The sequence below is a fragment of the Homo sapiens genome, chromosome 6 (genome assembly GCF_000001405.40).
Source record: "Homo sapiens chromosome 6, GRCh38.p14 Primary Assembly".
Taxonomy (NCBI): Eukaryota; Metazoa; Chordata; class Mammalia; order Primates; family Hominidae; genus Homo; species Homo sapiens.
The window spans coordinates 364,847-384,727 of NC_000006.12; the positions used below are offsets into that span (position 1 = coordinate 364,847).

Genomic DNA, 19,881 nt, shown 5'->3' on the forward strand with positions numbered 1-19,881 from the left:
GGCAATGGGGAATTCTGGGCGTCTGAGTGGTTTCAAGCCTTTTTCCTCTTTAAATAGCAGGTCACACTGGGCATGTTTCATTGCTGATACCAATTGTTTTATATCCTAACAGGCAACACAGACTGCCTTACAAGACACACCCGTGCTGACCCCCGGCCCCACCCCTGGCCGTGTTGAACTTGGGTGACCATGCATACACATTATTTTCCACAGAAAGATACACACCAGAGCTCATTAGACAGCCCATTGGGTTGCATCAGGTGCTAACAGACACTGCAGCTGTCTGACCAGCAAAAATATTGTGGGCTTGCCGTAACGGTCATTTGGCTAGCTAGAATGTGGGGAATCTGATCTCTCTGTTTTTAGGAGATTATTTCCCATAGTTAAAGGAAGTCACTGGGATTGGTTTTAACTCCTATTTTGATTTTCTTCTCCTACAAAACACCATCCTCTCCTAATTTTTTTCATGCTTTTTGAAAACAGCTTTATTGAGGTAAGATTCACATACCATAAAATTCACCTGAGGTCGGGAGTTCGAGACCAGCCTGACCAACATGGAGAAACCCCATCTCTACTAAAAATACAAAATTAGCTGGGTGTGGTGGCATGCATCTGTAGTCCCAGCCACTCGGGAGGCTGAGGCAGAAGAATTGCTTGAACCCGGGAGGCAGAGTTTGCAGTGAGCCGAGATCAAGCCATCGCACTCCAGCCTGGGTGACAAGAGCAAAACTCCACCTCAAAAAAAAAAAAAAAAAAAAAAATTCACTCGCCTACAGTGTACAAGGATTTTTAGTAAACCTACTGCAGTGTGCAGCCATCTCCATCATCTGGTTTCAGAATATTTTCATTGCCCCAGTAAGATCCCGCTGCCTATATGCAGTGAATACAGTGAATTCCCATTCCCACTCCCCATATTGACAACCACCAATCTGCTTTTTGTCTCTATCAGTTTGCCTTCTTAGGACATTTCATATAAAAAGAATCACGCCATCCTTCATGTCTGGCTTTCTTCACCCGGCATAAAGTTTTTGAGCTTCTGCCCCCTGGGGCACGTCTGGGTGGATCTTTCCTTTTGATTGAACAGCCCGGTTTCTTTTTTATTGGAGTGCAGGACTGATCACTAGTGAGTTGGTTCTCACAGTGGTTCTCCACCGGGGCTGACTGCCCCCTGGGGACATTTGTCTGGAGACATTTTTGGCTGTCACACCTGGTGTGGGGGCTTCTCCTGACATCAAGAAGATAGGGGAAGGTGCTAAGCCCCCTACAAAGCACAGGGCAGCCTCCAGAGCTGGGAATTACCCGGCCCAAGTATCACGAGAGCCAAGGTGGAGGATCTTGTGTTAGACTTCACTGAATTTTCACTTACCACCTGGGTACCTGTCTAGAACCAAGTGGTGCTCGATGTAAACCTCCTTCCCTTTGAGAGTGCTGCATGCTACTGTACTGGAGTTTTTGTTTAGTTTTTACATATATTTGAAATACAAACTCTTTTGTGGAATTGATGACTTTTCTTACCATTTGGGTAAATTCTGGAATCTCCTAAAATATTATTGGTAGTATGCACTGTCCACGAGAGGAAGATGAGGAGAAAAAGAGTACAGCTCTCGTCTCCTCGTTGAGACACCACACGACCTGGTTTTAGCAACAGAAAAATAGCAAGTGGTTTGGCTGACGCAGGCTAAGATCCCATGAAGCCGCAGAAACGGGGGAAGCTTATAGTAAAGTCATCTAATAAAGTAAATCTAAGTTTATTCAGCAACAAGTTGCATTTCATTTGTTTTTGTGGTGTGAGGACCAGCGTTCCACATTCTCGTTATATTTTGCTAGTGCTGCTCCAGAATTTTGAATCTACTGTTATTCTTAATATGAAGGAATGAAGTTCACAGTGGGGTAGAGGTTAAAAGGAAACAGATCTAAAGAAACAAAACTGAAGAAGTTCTTATCATCCAGCATTTGGCACAGCATAAAATCCCTTTAGGAGCGAGAAGAAATCAGCCTGAATTAACATACTTTGTTTTATCTGAGACCAGGGACTCGCTGACTGCTTACTTCTTTTTCTCTGGGGTGGCTGAGATGCCAAGACATGAAATTCTATCTCTCAGTTCTTTGGAGCTCTGTGTGTTGGTGAATTAGAAACAAAGCACTCTGTTTGGAGCTTAATAACGTAAGAGGAGACTGCTGTGATGCGAGTCGGTAAACTGTAGTTGGCAGAGGGTACCTTTGGGGATTTGACAAATAAATGATGGCGGCATTTCAGCTGCTCAGGCAATCTCCTCTCCTGACCCCTCTTTTGCTCCAGTGGGCAAGTCTGCCTCGGCCCTGCGAGGAGGACATGGGGAGGCCATGGGACGCACTCCGGGGGCTCTGCTGCAGCCTTGGGTCCCTCCTCAACCCTCTTCTTTGTTTTGACACCAAGAATAACAGCACCAGAAATATATGGTGAGAGTAAACTGAGGGCAAAGCACACACAGAATGCATGCATGCATATGTGTGCACATGCACATACACACATGTACACACGACACATGCATCTACACGTGTGCATATGCACACACATACACAATACATGCAGATACACATATAGCATGTGCACATATGCACAGATACATTCACACATCCACATGTCTGAATGCTTGCATACACATACTATGTGTGTACACACACAATAACATGCATACACATATAGCATGTGCACACACAATACACGCATACCCACATGTGTGCATACACGTGCAGACAGACATACACGATGCATGCATACACATATACGACGTGCACATGTGTACATATACACAATGCATGCATACAGACATACACACACATACGATTCATGCACATACACATACAAAGTGTATGCACACTCATACAGGACTCACATACACACACACACATTCTTCAGCATTGTTGCAGGCACTTGGACACATTCTGTATTCATCACTGCCAGATCAATATTGTGTCCTGTGTTACAGAGGAGGAAGCTGATGCCAAAAGAGGTTAAATAATTTGCTCCGAGCCACATAGCAGGTAAGTAATAGAGCCTGGGTCGAAACCACGTTCTCTCCAAATCTGAACTGCAAAGAGAGAAGCAGCACAAAGGAAGTGTTGCCTTTAAAAAGATGTGCCTCCACACGCGGGTGTTCCAGCCCAGTCACCCCAGCACCACTGAGCACCATTCACCTCAACGAGGGCATGGAATTCTACCCGAATGTGAGGCACAGTAGTGTGATAATAGACTTAATCTCTCTCTCTCTTCCCCCCCGCGCCCCCAGAAAGAAGGAGATGTAAGAGAAGCCCCCTGCCCCCCAGCACGTGTTTCTCTAAACCATTCCAGGAATAAGTAGTTTGCTTTCCGGCTGTGGGAGGTGGTGGCGATGGGAGGGGTTCTGAATTCTCTGCGCACATCTCCTCTCTCCAGAGTCAGTGAGAGGATGAAGCTCTGAGAATCCCAGGGAGGAGAGTGGTTAGTGGTTGCTGTTACAGTCCCCTCAGGAGTGTGTCTGTTCTTCCCTGAAGGTGACATTCTGTCCCCCAGAAATGTTTGCGGCTGATGGAGGCCTGTGGACTCTCCAGGAGCAGGAAGCTCCCAGCTCTGTGAGAAGCTGTTACCTGTGAGAACTTGACGCCCCAGCTCTGCTCCCTGAACCCACAGGCTCCCTGGGCATAGCTGGGCTCACAGCCCCCAGGACTTCCCTTCTCTTTGTTTCTGTGATCGCGTTCTCATCCTTGGGTCTTTGGAGACATTTTATTTTGTAAATTCGAGGATTTCAACTGCTATTATTATAATTATTTTTTTTTAGGTGAAGTCTCGCTCTATTGCCAGGCTGGAGTGCTGTCGTGCGATCTCTGCTCACTGCAAGCTCCGACTCCCTGGCCCAAGCGATTCTCCTGCCTCAGCCTCCCGAGTAGCTGGGATTACAGGCAGGCACCACCACACCCACCTAACATTTGTATTTTTAGTAGAGAGGGGGTTTCACCATGTTGGCCAGGATGGTCTCGATCTCCTGACCTCGTGATCCACCTGCCTCAACCTCCCAAAGTGCTGGGATTACAGGCGTGAGGCACTGCGCCCGGCCATTACTATTATTTTTTAAATGGGGACTCTGGCACTCAGGAAATGTTTATCCCAACTTTGGAGACATACTATGACCTAGTGCGCAGCCAGGGAAAAGTGACATCAGCCCTAAAAACAGTGAAATTCCTCAGGCCACTCAGCCCTTGCCAGACGCTGGCTTCCTGCACGGCCGAGTGACTGGACTGCGAATCCATTCCACGCTTATTGACCACCTTCTCTACCAATGAACGCAAAGCATTTCATTTCTTCTTAATTTCAACAAATTTTAATGGACAAAAATTGTATATGTTTATGGCGTACAATATATTTTGAAAATACGTAAACATTGTAGAATAAGTACAAAGCATCCATTGTACAATTCAGTGAATATAATTAATAACAATGTATTGTATGCTTGCAAATTACTAAAATAGTGGACTTTAAGTACTCTCACCACTAAAATATAAGAATGTGTGGCAATGCATATGTTAATTAGCTTGATTTAACCATTGCATGAAGCATTTTGATGAGTTTTTTAACCCTCATCCTATTGTCCTTAGAAAGAAGAGGTGCTTTTCACGACTTCTGAAAGGAAAGGAGATATGTCTCATTTTTACTCCAGAGGTCAGGATGGCCACTAGAAGAAGGCAGCAGCTGCTGCCTCCTTCTCCCTGCCTGCCCACTCGCCAAGGATTTTTCAAGCCTCATGTCCTTCAGCATCAGGCTGAAGCTGCGAGTTCCATCCTCAGACTGCTGGGAAACTTGCTTAGGGTCACAGAGTTAGAAATGGCCTTGCCAGGTCGCAAACAGAGACCTGGTCCTGAAGCTGTCTGTGTGGTCCTGCCTGGCAGACCCCAGGTTTTCTGTGGCTTGCTGCCCTGTGAGGGCCCATGGAAGCCCTCCCCGGAGGGGCTGGTGGAGAGAGTTCTGAATTCCTGGGCTCTGGGATGTGAAGGGAGCGGACTGCAGGTGAGGGGCTGTCAGATTCCAAAATGCTGCCTGCATAAATGTTATTGAATGAGTGATTCATTCTGGGAGTGTGGGGTTTCGGTGACTCTGAGTCCCTGTCCTCCAAACATTTACACACTGCACCTCCATGTGGGCAGGGAGCATAGGTGCCCACCTCCCATTCCCTGAGATAGGGTTGATAGCACTGGCTAAGACCTTAGGGTGAAACACACGCCGGCATGGGGTGCAGCGTTGAGGACTGAAGACGGAAATCCATATTCAAATAGCCATTCTGAGGGTTTCTCTTGCAGAGGTGATTTCTGCTCAGATCTGGTCGGCACTTCATGGGTTTGGCCTGGACAGGCAGCCGACCAAACCTGTGCTGGGCTGGGGCCCAGCTCACCATTTTTTGGCTGGCTCTTTATTGTATTATATTTCTTTCAGTTTTGTTGCTGAAAGTTCTTTTGGGGGTTTTCTGCTTAAAACCAGAACCTGCAAATCCATGTAAGGGGGCTCCCTACAGTGGGCTGTGGCAGTGGCCGGGGAGGTTCCCTGCACACACTGCTGTGACTTCTGCTAATATGAGCACTACTAGCTGGCACTCTAGGCTTCAGCTCATTTCTAATATTCTAGATGCAAACACGTACAGACGGATGTTCTGACATATTATTTTGGAGACCCTTCTCGTGCTCTGCCTGCCCCGATGTAGGCTCTGAGGGGACCCTGGAGCCACCTTACCCTGCTGTACCCCAGAGCAGTGCTTGGCACAGGGTGGGCACTCTGCATATGCCTTTAGAGGGAGCAAGGCCGTTTGGGTTGAAATCACCTTCTCATGAACCCAAGGCTGACACAGTGGCAGGGAATAAGTACATGCGGAGTCACAGACTCATGGTTGGCTGTGCATCCGAGCCTGTCCTCTCCATGCTGGAGTTCCCAACAGGCCAGAAGGGCCTCAGAGGGGTGGCCCAGACCCCCTGGCACACTGCACCCATCGAGTGTGAACAACTTCGCTGTAGATTAACAAGTGTTATGGAGGGGGGCCAGGATCCGGTTTGGGGGTCCTCAGATATGCAAAGAGCTCACTGAAGAAAGAACTTTGATTATAGCTTCCCAAATGGGAGTTAATGACAAAGATACGGAGAAGTAGTAATAACAATAGTTACATGAGCAGTGCAGTAGCAGCGGCAGTAATAGTAGTGGTAGTAGCAGCAGTTGCAGTAGCTGTGGCAGGAGGAGTAGCAGCAGCAGCAGTTGCCGTAGCTGTGGCAGGAGGAGTAGCAGCAGCAGCAGTTGCCGTAGCTGTGGCAGGAGGAGTAGCAGCAGCAGCAGTTGCCGTAGCTGTGGCAGGAGGAGTAGCAGCAGCAGCAGTTGCCGTAGCTGTGGCAGGAGGAGTAGCAGCAGCAGCAGTTGCAGTAGCTGTGGCAGGAGTAGCAGCAGCAGCAGTTGCAGTAGCTGTGGCAGGAGGAGTAGCAGCATCAGCAGTTGCAGTAGCTGTGGCAGGAGGAGTAGCAGCATCAGCAGTTGCAGTAGCTGTGGCAGGAGGAGTAGCAGCATCAGCAGTTGCAGTAGCTGTGGCAGGAGTAGCAGCAGCAGCAGTTGCAGTAGCTGTGGCAGGAGTAGCAGCAGCAGCAGTTGCAGTAGCTGTGGCAGGAGTAGCAGCAGCAGCAGTTGCAGTAGCTGTGGCAGGAGGAGTAGCAGCATCAGCAGTTGCAGTAGCTGTGGCAGGAGGAGTAGCAGCATCAGCAGTTGCAGTAGCTGTGGCAGGAGGAGTAGCAGCAGTTGCAGTAGCTGTGGCAGGAGTAGCAGCAGCAGCTGTTGCAGTAGCTGTGGCAGGAGGAGTAGCAGCAGCAGCAGTTGCCGTAGCTGTGGCAGGAGGATTAGCAGCATCAGCAGTTGCAGTAGCTGTGGCAGGAGTAGCAGCATCAGTAGTTGCAGTAGCTGTGGCAGGAGGAGTAGCAGCAGCAGCAGTTGCAGTAGCTGTGGCAGGAGGAGTAGCAGCATCAGCAGTTGCAGTAGCTGTGGCAGGAGGAGTAGCAGCATCAGCAGTTGCAGTAGCTGTGGCAGGAGTAGCAGCATCAGTAGTTGCAGTAGCTGTGGCAGGAGGAGTAGCAGCAGCAGCAGTTGCAGTAGCTGTGGCAGGAGGAGTAGCAGCAGTTGCAGTAGCTGTGGCAGGAGGAGTAGCAGCAGTTGCAATAGCTGTGGCAGGAGGAGTAGCAGCATCAGCAGTTGCAGTAGCTGTGGCAGGAGGAGTAGCAGCATCAGCAGTTGCAGTAGCTGTGGCAGGAGGAGTAGCAGCATCAGCAGTTGCAGCAGCTGTGGCAGGAGTAGCAGCATCGGCAGTTGCAGCAGCTGTGGCAGGAGGAGTAGCAGCATCGGCAGTTGCAGCAGCTGTGGCAGGAGGAGTAGCAGCATCGGCAGTTGCAGCAGCTGTGGCAGGAGGAGTAGCAGCATCGGCAGTTGCAGCAGCTGTGGCAGGAGGAGTAGCAGCATCGGCAGTTGCAGTAGCTGTGGCAGGAGTAGCAGCATCGGCAGTTGCAGTAGCTGTGGCAGGAGTAGCAGCAGCGGCACTTGCAGCAGCTGTGGCAGGAGTAGCAGCAGCAGCAGTTGCAGTGCAGGAGTAGCAGCAGCTTAGGTAGCAGTCGCAGTGCAACAGCCGCAGCAGCATCAGAGCCTCGGCAGCCGCAGCAGCAGTAGTAGTAATAATAGTAACAGTAGCAGCCACCGTTTTTTGAGCACCTCCTATGTGGCAGACACTGTAGCAGGTATTAGTTCATTTAATACTAGCAGGAGCCCTGTTGAACACTCTTCATGGCTTCCTTTCCCCCATGGCGTCTGAGCCCCCTTCACTGGCCTCACAGGATCCCCTGGCCACGGCGCCTGCCCGCTGCTCAGCCCTCCTCTGGCCACATGCCCCACCGGCACGCAGCCTGCATCCTCCTTTCACTTCCTCAAAGGCGCCATGCCCTCTCCCCTCTGCACTTTCCACCCCGACCCCACTGGCCTGTCTCCCTCCCCTCCATGGACCTCAGGTTAAGTCATGCCTGGTGAAAGCTCCTGGAGCTCAGACATGCTGGTTCCCCGGTACTGTCATTGCGGCTCAGTCCTTTATCTCCCCGTCCAGAAAAGACGGATGTGCTGGAGAAAGGACAGGGCCCATGGAGGGCCACCAGTGCCACCTGAGGTAGTGCCCAAGGCAAGAGCTGGAGCAAGCTGAGAAAAAAAGATGTAGTATTACGTTCTAACCCACAGAGCAAAATAAACACCCACAAGCCCAGACTGATACAGAAAATGCAAACCCCTCTAGAGGAGCGCATTCATCGGCCTTGCCCACCGCTCACTGCTGTGCCCCTCCAGGCCCTCGCAGGGAACATGGCACATTGCAGGTGCTTCATAAAGGACAATGGAGTGAAGGTGGTGGATGTGTGCCCGGCGAGGGTGGCGGCTGGAAGGTCTGCTGGTGCCTGAGGGAAGGGCAGTCAGTATCAGAGTTGGAACTCTGCAGCTGGCTTTAAACTTTGCTTTTTTATGACTGCCTCCCAAAGGTGAGGAAAACTCAATTGGCTTCCTTGTTCTCACATCCCAAAGACAGTCAGGAGCCAGGACTGGCAGCATTTTACAGCTCTGTTAAGAGGTTGACCTGTCCTGGAAAGTGTAAAGGACTGTTCTTTACAGTTTATGATGCCACATTTCATGAATCTGAGAATCCATGCCACAAATGGCCTCGCTTTACCAATGCAAAAGGGCAAATCAAGGGGTTCTGGCCCGTCTTGTGTCATTCAAACTGCAGTTTTGAAAAGTTCGATTAGAATGTTTTGCCCGTGATAAGAATCACAAGAGATTCTTCAAGTGCTTTATCCTGGGAGAGTTGAGTGGTGCTGCCCAGCAGCAGCGAGAATGCTTCTCACGTTGCTATCAGGTGGCCCCTGCTCCGTGGGGTCCGGAGCGGTTCACCGCCTGGCTTTTGACTGTTTATAAATTTGGCATAGGCATGCCAGTGGGTTTTGCAGAATCCATGTAAGGATTGCACGTTACATACCAAGCTTGCCAGTGACGCACTGGCTGACATGTCCCACGGCGTGTCCCTGCTTCCTGGCCGCTGCAGCAGCCTGAATTCAACTCTGCAGAGCGACTTATGCTTTCCTGAACCTTATTTCCTTAAGAGCTATTTTTAGAAAAATTAGGACTGAGGTTTGATTCCTGGTTTTAGGCTCCCCAGGCTGGCAGAAGCTGGAATTGCTTTAAAGCAACCAATTCCTTCTTTGGCCGCTCACCAGTACTCCTTCTGCTGAGGGATGAGGGGCCGCCAAGGGGGACAGAAGTGAGCCGAGCTCTGCTCGTTGCCCTCACACTGGTGAGCTCCTTAGCGTGTCAGGGGCTGCTCCAGGTAGAGTGGGCACAGCCAGGACCAGAGAGGCCAGCTCCCTGCTCGCCAGGGGCCAGCATCTCCAGTGGATTCAAATGCAAAAGGGCAAATCAAGGGGTTCTGGTCCATCTTGTGTCATTCAAACTGTAGTTTTGAAAAGTTCAATTAGAATGTTTTGCCCGTGATAAGAATCACAAGAGACTCTTCAAGTGCTTTATCCTGGGAGAGTTGAGTGGTGCTGCCCAGCAGCAGCGAGAATGCTTCTCACGTTGCTATTCGGTGGCCCCTGCTCCGTGGGGTCCGGAGCGGTTCACCGCCTGGCTTTTGACTGTTTATAAATTTGGATTACAAATGACTGTGAAATGGATAACAATATGTGAGTATAGGTTTCATGGATCGATTCCCGGCCTGGAGCAGGGAAAATACCAGAGGAGCCTCAGACATCTTATGGGGCCAGAAAATGAAGAGGTGCTTGAAAAAGAAAGGGGTATGACAAGAAGCCACATGACTAACCTGAAGGAGCTTCCAGTGGCCAAAAGTGGAGCAATTTGAGCAACAAAATAAAAAATGAGAATAATGGATTCTAATCCATGGAATAAAAATAAATATCCCTAAGTCCAGATTGATGTAAATAAATAATTGAATAAATAATAAACAACAGAGAAGAGACGGTTCTTCCTTATAGAAGAACCCAGGTTAATGATTGTGGAAGGAATGAGAAAAATACAAAATCATCACTAGGCAAACTTTACAGCAGCAACTGCTGTCAGCAAGAGCCATGGGTGGACACTGCAACCACTGGGCAAGGCTTTGAGGAGAAGCCGGACATTCTCATTGTCGCAGCTGATGGAGAAATCCTGCAAACACCACCTTAACCAAGTGATCCAGGGAAACAGCACCACTCCTAGGACCACGGACATCACATCCCCCAGACACGTGGCAGTGAGGAGGACACATGCCCGTCGGTGGCATTCCTGCCAAACATTCACTAACCTCAGTGCAACCGGAGGAAACATCAGACACACCCAACAGAGAGGCAATCCACAAAGTGAGTGACCAGTACTGCCAAAGTGTCAGGAGCATGAGAGATGGGGCAGCTCTTGGACAAACCGTTAAGAAGACTCTACTGATCTACTCCCCTGTGGAATAAAGTGAAAGGACTTGGGATGAAAACACACTTTTAGCCAGGCATGGAGGCTCACACGTGTAATCCCAGCACTTTGGGAGGCCGAGGCAGGCGGATCATGAGGTCAAGAGATCAAGACCATCCTGGCCAACATGGTGAAACCCCGTCTTTACTAAAAATACAAAAATTAGCTGGGCATGGTAGCATGTGCCTGTAGTCCCAGCTACTCAGGAGGCTGAGGCAGGAGAATTGCTTGAATCCGGGAGGTGGAGGTTGCAGTGAGCCGAGATCGTGCCACTGCACTCCAGCCTCCAGCCTGGTGACAGAGCAAGATTCCATCTAAAAAAAAAAAAAAAAAAAAAAAAAAAAAGACACTTTTAAACCCTGGCAGCACTCAAGCATCATGTGGAAAGCTTGAGAACCATGTAAAATGTGCAATAGCAGTGAGGTCGCTGAAGGGGCCGAGTGAGGTGGAGAGGGAAAAGGCCGCTGAGTCTGGCCAGTGTCGATGGATAGTTAGAGTAGTGCAGACCAACATTTCTTATCTGTATTTAATAGCAGGTTTTTACAAATCAGCCTTATTTGAAAAACTGTCTAAACTCTCTTTTGCCGGATGGGTAGCTTACTTTGTGCACAACACTATTTTAAGTTCTATTAAACATAATTAAGAAATAGAAGAGAAAATAAGAGATTACAGGAGAAATGCACAAATCAAAGATCAAAAAGCATGTCCATCAAAGAAAAGAGAACCCTGGTACACTGTGGGTCAGAAGGTAAATTCGTATAGCCATTATGGAAAACAGTGTGGAAGTTCCTCAGAAGATTAAAAATGGAGCTACTATATAATCCAGCAACCTCACTACTGGGTATATATCCAAAAAATATTGAAATCAATATATTGAAGAGATGTCTGCCCTCCCATGCTCACAATAGCCCAGATCCAAAATCAGTCTTGGTGTCCCATCAGTGGACACACGGATAAAGTGTGGTGGACGTACACCATGGGATAAGATTCAGCCTTAAAGAAGAAAGAAGTCCTGTCATTTGTGACAATGTGGATGAACCTGGAGGACATGATTCTAAGTGAAATAAGCCAGGCACAGAGAGACAAATACCACATGATCTCAGTCACATGTGGAATCTGAAAACGTCCAACTCATAGAAGTAGGTAGCACAATGGTGGGTACCGGGGCAGGGGTGAGGGGCTTAGGGGGATGCTGGTGTAAGGATACAAAATCTTAGTTAGATGGGAGGAATTAGTTCAAGAGGGCCATTGTACAGCATGGTGACTATATTTAATAACAGTGAATTGTATACTTGAAAGTAGCTAGAAGAGTAGATTTTAAGTATTCTCAGTGCACAAAAAAGGCGAGGTTATATATACATGTTTGATGTAGCCTTTCCACAATGTGTGTGTATATATATAAACATATTGTACACCATAAATATATACAATGTTTACTTTTCAATTAAAATAGATAAAAAGGAAGATTTTCTGACCAAAGTGAGTAGCTGATATAATTATATTATGCTGTCTTTAGATGCTAATTACATTACAAAAAAATTTCCATTTGGTTAGGAAATACGTATTTTAAGTGCCCATAGATACTACATGTATTCTGAGCTACAACTTTGCGCAGCCCACTACAGGTGAGTGGGTCAGAGAGGCCCCATCCAGGAAGAGGAAGCTGTGGTTTAATTAGAGCTGGGATGGGGGCTTGCCTGTTTCTGCTAAAGACATAGACTTGAATCATTAGAAAATGGGAATAGGCTGAACGTGAGAGGCAGCAGTGAGGTTTGTTTTCTGTTATTTATCTTTTTTGGGCTGAAGAGGGCAACTAGGCCACCGGGCCCAAGGTTAGGAGAACAACTGGTGTCATGATAAAGATTTTTCAGGGTTTTGGTCAGATAATTGGGGTTGATTAATGTCATGGTGGAGCCTAGAGATTCTGAGAAGGAGGAGAGGAGTTCAGTTAGATACCCAGCGGGTCATAAGCAGTCTGACTGTGTGTGCGGAACACCCCCAAAGCCCACACTGGGGAGGCGACTTGAAGGAGGGGACTGTCACATTGCAGAAGGCCGAGAGGCCCAGAGGCTCAGAAAAGGGATGAGGCCATTGGATTTTTGCCAGGAAAATGTCACTGGTGGTTTTGGTAAAAGTAGTTCCTCCAAGGTAAAGACCGAACTAGAGCTACTCAACTGAAAATTTATTGAGGGGAGGAACCATGCTGTCGTATATCTTTGTATTTCCCAAAAACATCTAGCCCAGAATATCATCTTCAAATTTTTGACATTGGGGTTCTGTGTTTTCCTGCTGAGAGCTTCAACCAAAGCCACATTTCAAGCAATTAAGAAAAAGGCATCTTGGGAGGCCGAGGTGGGCAGATCACGAGGTCAGGAGTTCGAGACCAGCCTGGCCAAAATGGTGAAACCTCATCTCTACTAAAGATACAAAAAATTAGCTGGGCGTGGTCGTGCGTGCCTGTAATCCGAGCTACTTGGGTAGCTGAGGCGGGAGAATCGCTTGAGGTTGCAGTGAGCCGAGACTGTGCCATCGCACTCCAGCCTGGGCAACAGGGCGAGACTCTGTCTCAAAAAAACAAACAAACAACAACAAAAAAGGCATCAATGTGAAAATAAGTAAACAGCATCAAGATGCGTTTAAGGAATACATTTTACAATGCAAAGGAGGAGGATGGAAGACTGGCGTAGAGGGAGGGATTGAAAAAAAGTTAAGGTCAGGAGATATTGTCCTGGGGTTTGACATAAATCAACATGATTCGTCAATCCTGATGTGTGTTTCTGTTCTTAAGAAAATATCTGTATGGTTTTGCTAATAATACATGTGTATCCCCCCAAAAGTATAAAATTCGGGGAAAAAACTGAGACCAGAACAATTTATACCGAGAACGTGTGACCCCACCACCTATGTTGGTAACATGTTGGGGATTTCCCCGAGGCTTGCGGAGTTTTCTCAGAGTTAAGATCCTATCATGCATGCAATTTTGCGTATGCTTTCTTCCCTTAACCTCATATCATAAGCATTTTCCCCAAATTAACCAACATTTTCATATAGTTTTCCTAAGTGTGTAGATGTACCACTGCGTACTTAACTGCTCCCCCGTGTCTAGATACTTAAAATATTTCTAAGTTTTACGGTAACCAATGCTGAGATGGACATCTTTGCAAAAGAGTGGTCCCATCGCTCTCCAGAAGGAAGCACGCGCATTTCAGCTGCACGGTTATTGTCTTGTGTGCTCTCGTTTAAATGGCTGTGAATTTGCTTTTTCTTTTTAGTAATCATTCACTCCTTTATTCATTTATTCGAAAAGATTTTATGTGGAAATCTAACACGTGGGAACACAGTTGTAGCACCGGCAGTCTCAGAGAGCAAGAGAGACGAGGCCCCAGCCCACGTGGCACTCACAGAGACAAACACCGCAGAAGAGAGGCAGAGGTTGGCCAGCACAGGAAGAGAGGCACTGTGGGAGAAGCGAAGGCACCTGAGGTGTGGGAGTGCCTGGGACACCGGGGACCTCCCTGAGATGCAGCCAGGGAGCAGGCAGTCATCCAACAGGGATTATTACTGAGGCTGAAAATGTTTTCAATATTGATCGCACTGGGCTCGTTCCTTAGTGAGACGTGTGTCAGAGGCCGTCCTCACTCCCCAGCAGCTCCTGTTGGCTTCGAGCAATTCTACCAACCCGTCCCCCTCCATGTGTTCCTCTCTAAATGGAATCACAGTGCCTGCTTCACCTCCCCACTGGGTTCTGTGAAAAATTAGAGGCTGGTGCAGAGAATCCCACCAAGTCAGCCGCAGACCAGACACGAGGTTGACCCCTCTGCAGCTTGTCACTGCCAGTCTGATGTGACTCCTATGTGGAGTCCTCTGACCTCCTTGAGGGCCTCAGTGTGTAAACAGGTGCCAGGCTGAGCCACCCCCTCGAGGCTCCCTCCTCCTAGCATGTGGCTTAATGTTTCAAAACCAGTTTTGGAGAAGAATCCTCCCTGCAGTGGCTGTGCTCATAGGAAGGGCCCGGCAATCCCGCCCCTCCACCCGCACACCCCCTGCCCTGGTCACCGTGCTCCTCCCAGGGCCGCTCCCCACGTGCGTCTGCCCAACAGGCGTGGACACCTGCGGCACTTCCAGAGCCCGGCAGCCTGGACAGGAAGTTACCTCGCTGTTCCCCCCCAGGGCCACGCCAAAGCTGTGCTGAAGAAAACCTGCCTGCAGGGAAGTGATCAGCGCTACGGTCAGAGGAAACCTGGTTCCTCCTGACCTCCCCTTGGCCCTAACCTGAGACGCCTGGGGCCGGAAATAGAGAAGCCTGCTGTTAACCTCAATGTCCCCGGCATTCTGCACAGGTCACGAGCCCTCTTTTCCCTGTGTGTCTGCCCATGAGTGCCATATTCGCACACCCAGGCCGGGTCCACCTACCTAGCCCGCTTTGGGAGTGAACTTCCAGCTGGTTTTTACGGGACAGTCCTCCAGAACATCCCTCTGGTGCTGCAAAGCCAGTTCTCAGCCAGACTTGCTACCTTCCATCCCAAATGCCACTCCTCGGTCACGGTTTCCTGTCCCCGATGATGGCGCCACGGCCCCTGGTACTCAGCATCTCTGGGGTCCTGCCTCCCGGGGTGTTCAAAGACAGCCCTCCTGGGCAGCACCCTCCCGGATCCCCAGGGCCACCCTGGCCCAGCAGCATCCAGTCCTTCCACTGGGGCTCTCTTGCGCCTCCAGTCCAGCCTGGAACCCCTGGCACAAAATGTCTGATGTGCCTCCTTCAGCCTCCCTTTTCTCCAGCTGTGTGGTTCAAAGACTGCGGTTCTCAGACCCCATAAATGAAAATCTCACAGCTGTCTGATGGAAATGCAGATTCCTGGGTCCATTGGCTGAAGCCAGACAGCTGGTTGGGGCTTGCAAGTGATTCTGACATCCAGTGACGTTGAAGGGCCAGTGACCTGCCCGTGGAGTATGGACTCCTTCGCTGGCGTTGGGGCTCCCTCCCCACGGTCTTCCTGGATGGGCTTCAAACCTCCTTTCTGGCCTCTACGCCCTGGGTCCCGCCCCCAGCCCAGACTACCTGCTGTTCCACTGTCACACGGGAGGAGTTACTGCCAGGCTGGGCTCTCCGCCTAGAATTCCTGCTTCTGTGGATTGAAATCTCATGACTTCAAAGTTCAGGTGAAACGCCACCTTCTTCACGATGCCAGCTGCCTCCTCCCCCTTACCATTTTGTCATCATTGTCTTTCATTCCACCTTCTACTGCCCTGGAGGATGACACTGTCCCCGAGTGAGCTGGCGTGCCCCCAGTGCCAGGCAAGGGACTGTGCATGTCCCCTCACAGTGGCTCCGTGTCCTAGCCATCCTTGTGTCTTCCTCAGTACCTTGGTTCTGTGCCTCACAAAAGCTACTGGGTTGAAAGAAATCACAGAACCTGAGAAGAAACCCATGCTTTGTTCAGACTCAGGATGCGATTCTAGCTTGAAACCATTGCAAGAGGAACTCCACCAATGTCAAGTCCTGCTTTTGTGAGCCCCCTCGCCAGAAGGGAGGGAGCATGTGCAGTAGGAGGTCTCCTCATTTCACAGGCCAGGGCACCACTCCGGAGCAGGGACTCAGAAAAAGGCAGAGGAGTGTTCCCTGGCACATGGGGAGTGCAGCATGAGATACCAGTCAGGAGGGGTGGAGGGAAAGAGGGCGCGTCGCGTCAGCAGGACGGGCAGTGGCCCCGCACCCCGCAGCATGGCTCCCGCTTACATTTCTCTGAGAGGCCTGGTCACACCATAGGTTTCGTGGTCCCTGGAAAAGTAGAGTCCCTCCTGGGGTTGCACAGTGCATGTTGGGACATCTTCCTCCACTACACAAAATGAAAAAGCCAACAGAAATCTCGCTCCGACTGCCACAAGGATGCATCCTCTGTAACTCTCAAGTGTCCTTCTGATGCCAGATGGCTCCGTTTTAACCGGGATATCAAAATGAACACATCCTGGAACTTAACTTTGCAACTGGAACTTGAACTTGATTTTCAAATGGAATTCAGAAGTTTCCATGAAATAGAAAAGGAGGGTGGTTTATAATGCATAAACCAGACTGGTAGAGGAGAAGAATGTATTAGGGGCTTTTTATTACAGACAGTATAAAAAGAAGTCAGGAAAGAGTACAAACTTCACCCCCAAAAGGAAGGTATATAACTTACAAAATAAAAAGTTCACATAAATCACAAATTAGCAACATTTAACATTTTAAGCTTCCCAAAAGTTCTGTGCAGCTCACCCTTGATGAACATACCCAGATGGAACCAGGAAGAATTAATTTGTGAAACTGTGACCATCTCATCAGAGACTGCAGCCACCCATGAGTGTTCAAGTAAAGCAAAATACATCTGCCAAAGAAGTGTAATTAAAATATTCACAGCATAACTCCTGAGATCTTATCTTTGATATAAGTTAGCTCCATTTACACTTAGCAGATAATACCAAATTAAAACAGAGACTGAATTCAGTGAGCAGAGAAAACAGCCTAGCCCATGGATTTGTTCTCAATGCACTGCCTCCTGGCTTTGGTGATTTTGCAAAGAACTGAAAGAAAAAGCACAACATTCAGAATAGAAAGGGAATTTCTGAAGGGAGTTTCATAACTGAAATTTCAGTTTGAACTGGATGAGGGACGCTGTTTAGTTCAGTGACCACTGAGGACCTCCGGCAGGCTTCGGGGTGTACAAAGACAGCCAGGATTCAGCCCGCCTCAGTGGAGGGCCCCACAGCACAAAGGCACCAAGAAGGGATAGCAAGAGGACAGCCAGAGTGCCCACAAGCTCGGCAGGAAGGAGGCTCACATCGCCGCGGAAGTCTCGTGATGGTTCTGGTAGAATCGTCCTCTTGAAACCTTCTGCTGCCATTATTGGGTGCTGTCCAATATGCCTTACGCAAAACACTGACAATAGCATACACCTTTCCAGAATGCCGGCACGCGCTGTGCAATGCCCAAACTGTCCCTGTGAGTTGAATGCCCCTGGCAGGATGCGTGTCCACTCCCGCAGGGCCGTGGGTGCCTCCCTTGTCTCACTCCTCTGCTTCAACCCTTCCCAGAACTCTGAAGGTTTGAGATGAAATGACTGAGCCACACCTAGTGCAGGAATGAGCACCAGGGCCTCTCTGCAACGGCTGCTTAAGGGCCACAGGATAAGCATAGTGTGGCGCCCCCAGTTATTCCCTGTTTCGCTCATTGGACCACCCTGATAGGCTTCAGGGAGGCAGGAACCTCCTCTAAGGCAGCAGGAGAGGGGTGGATGGGGCAGCCAACAGGTGCATCTCATGCCTCCGTGTTCTCCATAGGGAGGGAGGTGGGCTAAGAGGCGAGTGGGGCAGAGGCCTGGGCCAGCGTGAAGTGTCAGGAGTAAGGGGGGAGAAGACTGGAGGGGGCAAATCCAGGAGGCAGCTGAGGCTGCACTGTGCAAATACAAGCCCGGTTACGTCTGTGTAGCTTAGCTTCCCCAGCCCACCTGAGCCAGAGCTGGGTCTGCCCGTGCTCCCGCTTCTATTGACATCCAGCAACTCCAAATGACCTCTCCCATATCAATGGGCTCATCTCCGAAGCCGAATCTTATAGCCTGCTTCTCCTCCCCACCAGGCTATAGTGGGAAATCATTGAGGAAACTATGGTTGAATGCATCGCACGGCCTCTCTGGTGTCTGAGAGAAGCTTCATAGCCAGCAGGCTGCCCCTGGTGGGCAGGTGCCGCATGGAGGTACCACGCCTCCCGTGCAGCGAGTAAGAAGGGCAAGGAGAGCTTGTCAGGGGAGTGGGCCAGGCTATCACATCAGATGGGCCAGGCCTCGCATCGCTCTCTGCATCCTAAGCAACGTCTGGACTTGAGTGCGTGGGTTTGTGGTACTGCAATGCCACAGTACCTTGGGGAGCCCCCAGGCAAGCCAAGAAAGTTCTGGGAGGCCACAGCCCTTCACTCAAGTTCAAAGGTTCAAAGCAGGGATTCTGTGTCACACTTGCGAAGGTGCCCACCCCAACAGAAGCTGTGGCTCTGCAGGACACGTGCGGGGTAGACCTCTAAGGCCTTGTCCCAGTGGAAATGCCCTCCCACTTGGCCTGGGTAGCTGCTCACGCTTCTGAAACGGGAAAAATCAACTGCATTCCTGAATGGGAGCCTCAGAGCATTAGAAAAGATAATGTTCTGATTTTTTAAAGCTAAACGTATATGGAAGGAAGCTGAAAGAGGACTTTTGATGAGTCACCTAATGTTGATGTTGAAATAAACCTAATGACCCTCTGGCTAAAATCTGTTCTCATTTGGGAAGCACCTGAACCCTCATTCTCCCGCCACTGCTCTGACCTCTGGAAAGCAAGGAGCAAAGGCACACTCAGCAGCTCCCGCTCCAAAATGCTCTCCCGAGTCCTCCCAAGCAGCCAGAGGACGACTCCACACCCAGAACCCAGAGTGGCCTGGGAACCAGGCCTCAGGTTCCTGGCCCATTTGTCATCGCCCAGGGTCCTCCTGCCAGGAATCCCCCCACATCCTGCCCTGCCTAGAGAAGCCCAGCTCTTCCATCAAAGTTCTGCTCAAATGTCACTGCATGTTACGTCTTCCTCACACACTCCCACTAGCCTTACTGCATCATGCTTGGTTTGCTGAGCTATGTGTGGGGTCTTTCCTTGCCAACCCTTCTTTCCCTGAGAGGTGCAATGACCTCATATTGAGGCTGTCCACTCCCCCACTCCCGACCCCATCCACCAAGCCTGGGAGGCACTGGCTTAATGCATCATGGTTAAAAGAAATGGATGGTTGAATTGCACAGAGAAGACACTGTGCCCCAGGAGATGTGCCTTGCACAAGATCCCTGCAGCACATGCTGGGAGGCTCTGCCCGGGTAGCACTTAGGAAAGAAGGATGTATGCCCTGGGCTGCTGGGAGCACTGTGGGAACTCTGGGATCCCCCTCCTCCTAAGGGCTGTGCTACCCTGATTTGGAAACAATACAGAGGCTTCTCTCCTGCAAGAAAACATGCCCCCTGCCCACCCAGGATCCACCTGGCTGGGGAATCTGCCTAGCTGGGGACCAGGTGGGCATGCTAAGGAGGAATGGGGCTGTGTCTGAAAGAAAGAGATGCCAGCAGGATCCAGGAGAGCAGTCACGGTCCTGGGGTCTGAGAGTGCTGGGCCAAGGAGGTATGGGGAGCATAGATTCATATAAGAGAGAGTGGTTCAGTCTGTGGCCATGCTCCTGGGACACAGCACTGAGCACCCAGCAAGGCCCCAAGAGATGCTGAAACACACAGCTAGGATGGCTCCCAGGAACGTGAGACAGCATTAACCACAGGAAGCCAGGCAGAAGTGCTGCAGCCAGGGCGTGCTGTGGGAGAAGGGCTGGGAGGATG

General features: G+C 49.8%; 6 annotated features.

Moving 5' to 3' along the window:
• Window positions 7,690-7,939: an enhancer, noted in NCBI's record as "active region_23838". NCBI's record gives its function as "activates an Ori minimal core promoter by ATAC-STARR-seq in GM12878 lymphoblastoid cells {active_cell/tissue: GM12878}" and the evidence as "EXISTENCE:reporter gene assay evidence [ECO:0000049][PMID:35858748]".
• Window positions 8,773-9,346: an enhancer, noted in NCBI's record as "H3K4me1 hESC enhancer chr6:373619-374192 (GRCh37/hg19 assembly coordinates)". NCBI's record gives its function as "activates a minimal SCP1, AML or CMV promoter by ChIP-STARR-seq in primed H9 embryonic stem cells {active_cell/tissue: H9 hESC(primed)}" and the evidence as "EXISTENCE:reporter gene assay evidence [ECO:0000049][PMID:30033119]".
• Window positions 10,174-10,374: a silencer, noted in NCBI's record as "peak5616 fragment used in MPRA reporter construct". NCBI's record gives its function as "represses an SCP1 promoter by STARR-seq MPRAs in K562 erythroleukemia cells {active_cell/tissue: K562}" and the evidence as "EXISTENCE:reporter gene assay evidence [ECO:0000049][PMID:32103011]".
• Window positions 14,001-14,070: an enhancer, noted in NCBI's record as "active region_23839". NCBI's record gives its function as "activates an Ori minimal core promoter by ATAC-STARR-seq in GM12878 lymphoblastoid cells {active_cell/tissue: GM12878}" and the evidence as "EXISTENCE:reporter gene assay evidence [ECO:0000049][PMID:35858748]".
• Window positions 14,096-15,042: an enhancer, noted in NCBI's record as "H3K4me1 hESC enhancer chr6:378942-379888 (GRCh37/hg19 assembly coordinates)". NCBI's record gives its function as "activates a minimal SCP1, AML or CMV promoter by ChIP-STARR-seq in naive H9 embryonic stem cells {active_cell/tissue: H9 hESC(naive)}" and the evidence as "EXISTENCE:reporter gene assay evidence [ECO:0000049][PMID:30033119]".
• Window positions 14,171-14,400: an enhancer, noted in NCBI's record as "active region_23840". NCBI's record gives its function as "activates an Ori minimal core promoter by ATAC-STARR-seq in GM12878 lymphoblastoid cells {active_cell/tissue: GM12878}" and the evidence as "EXISTENCE:reporter gene assay evidence [ECO:0000049][PMID:35858748]".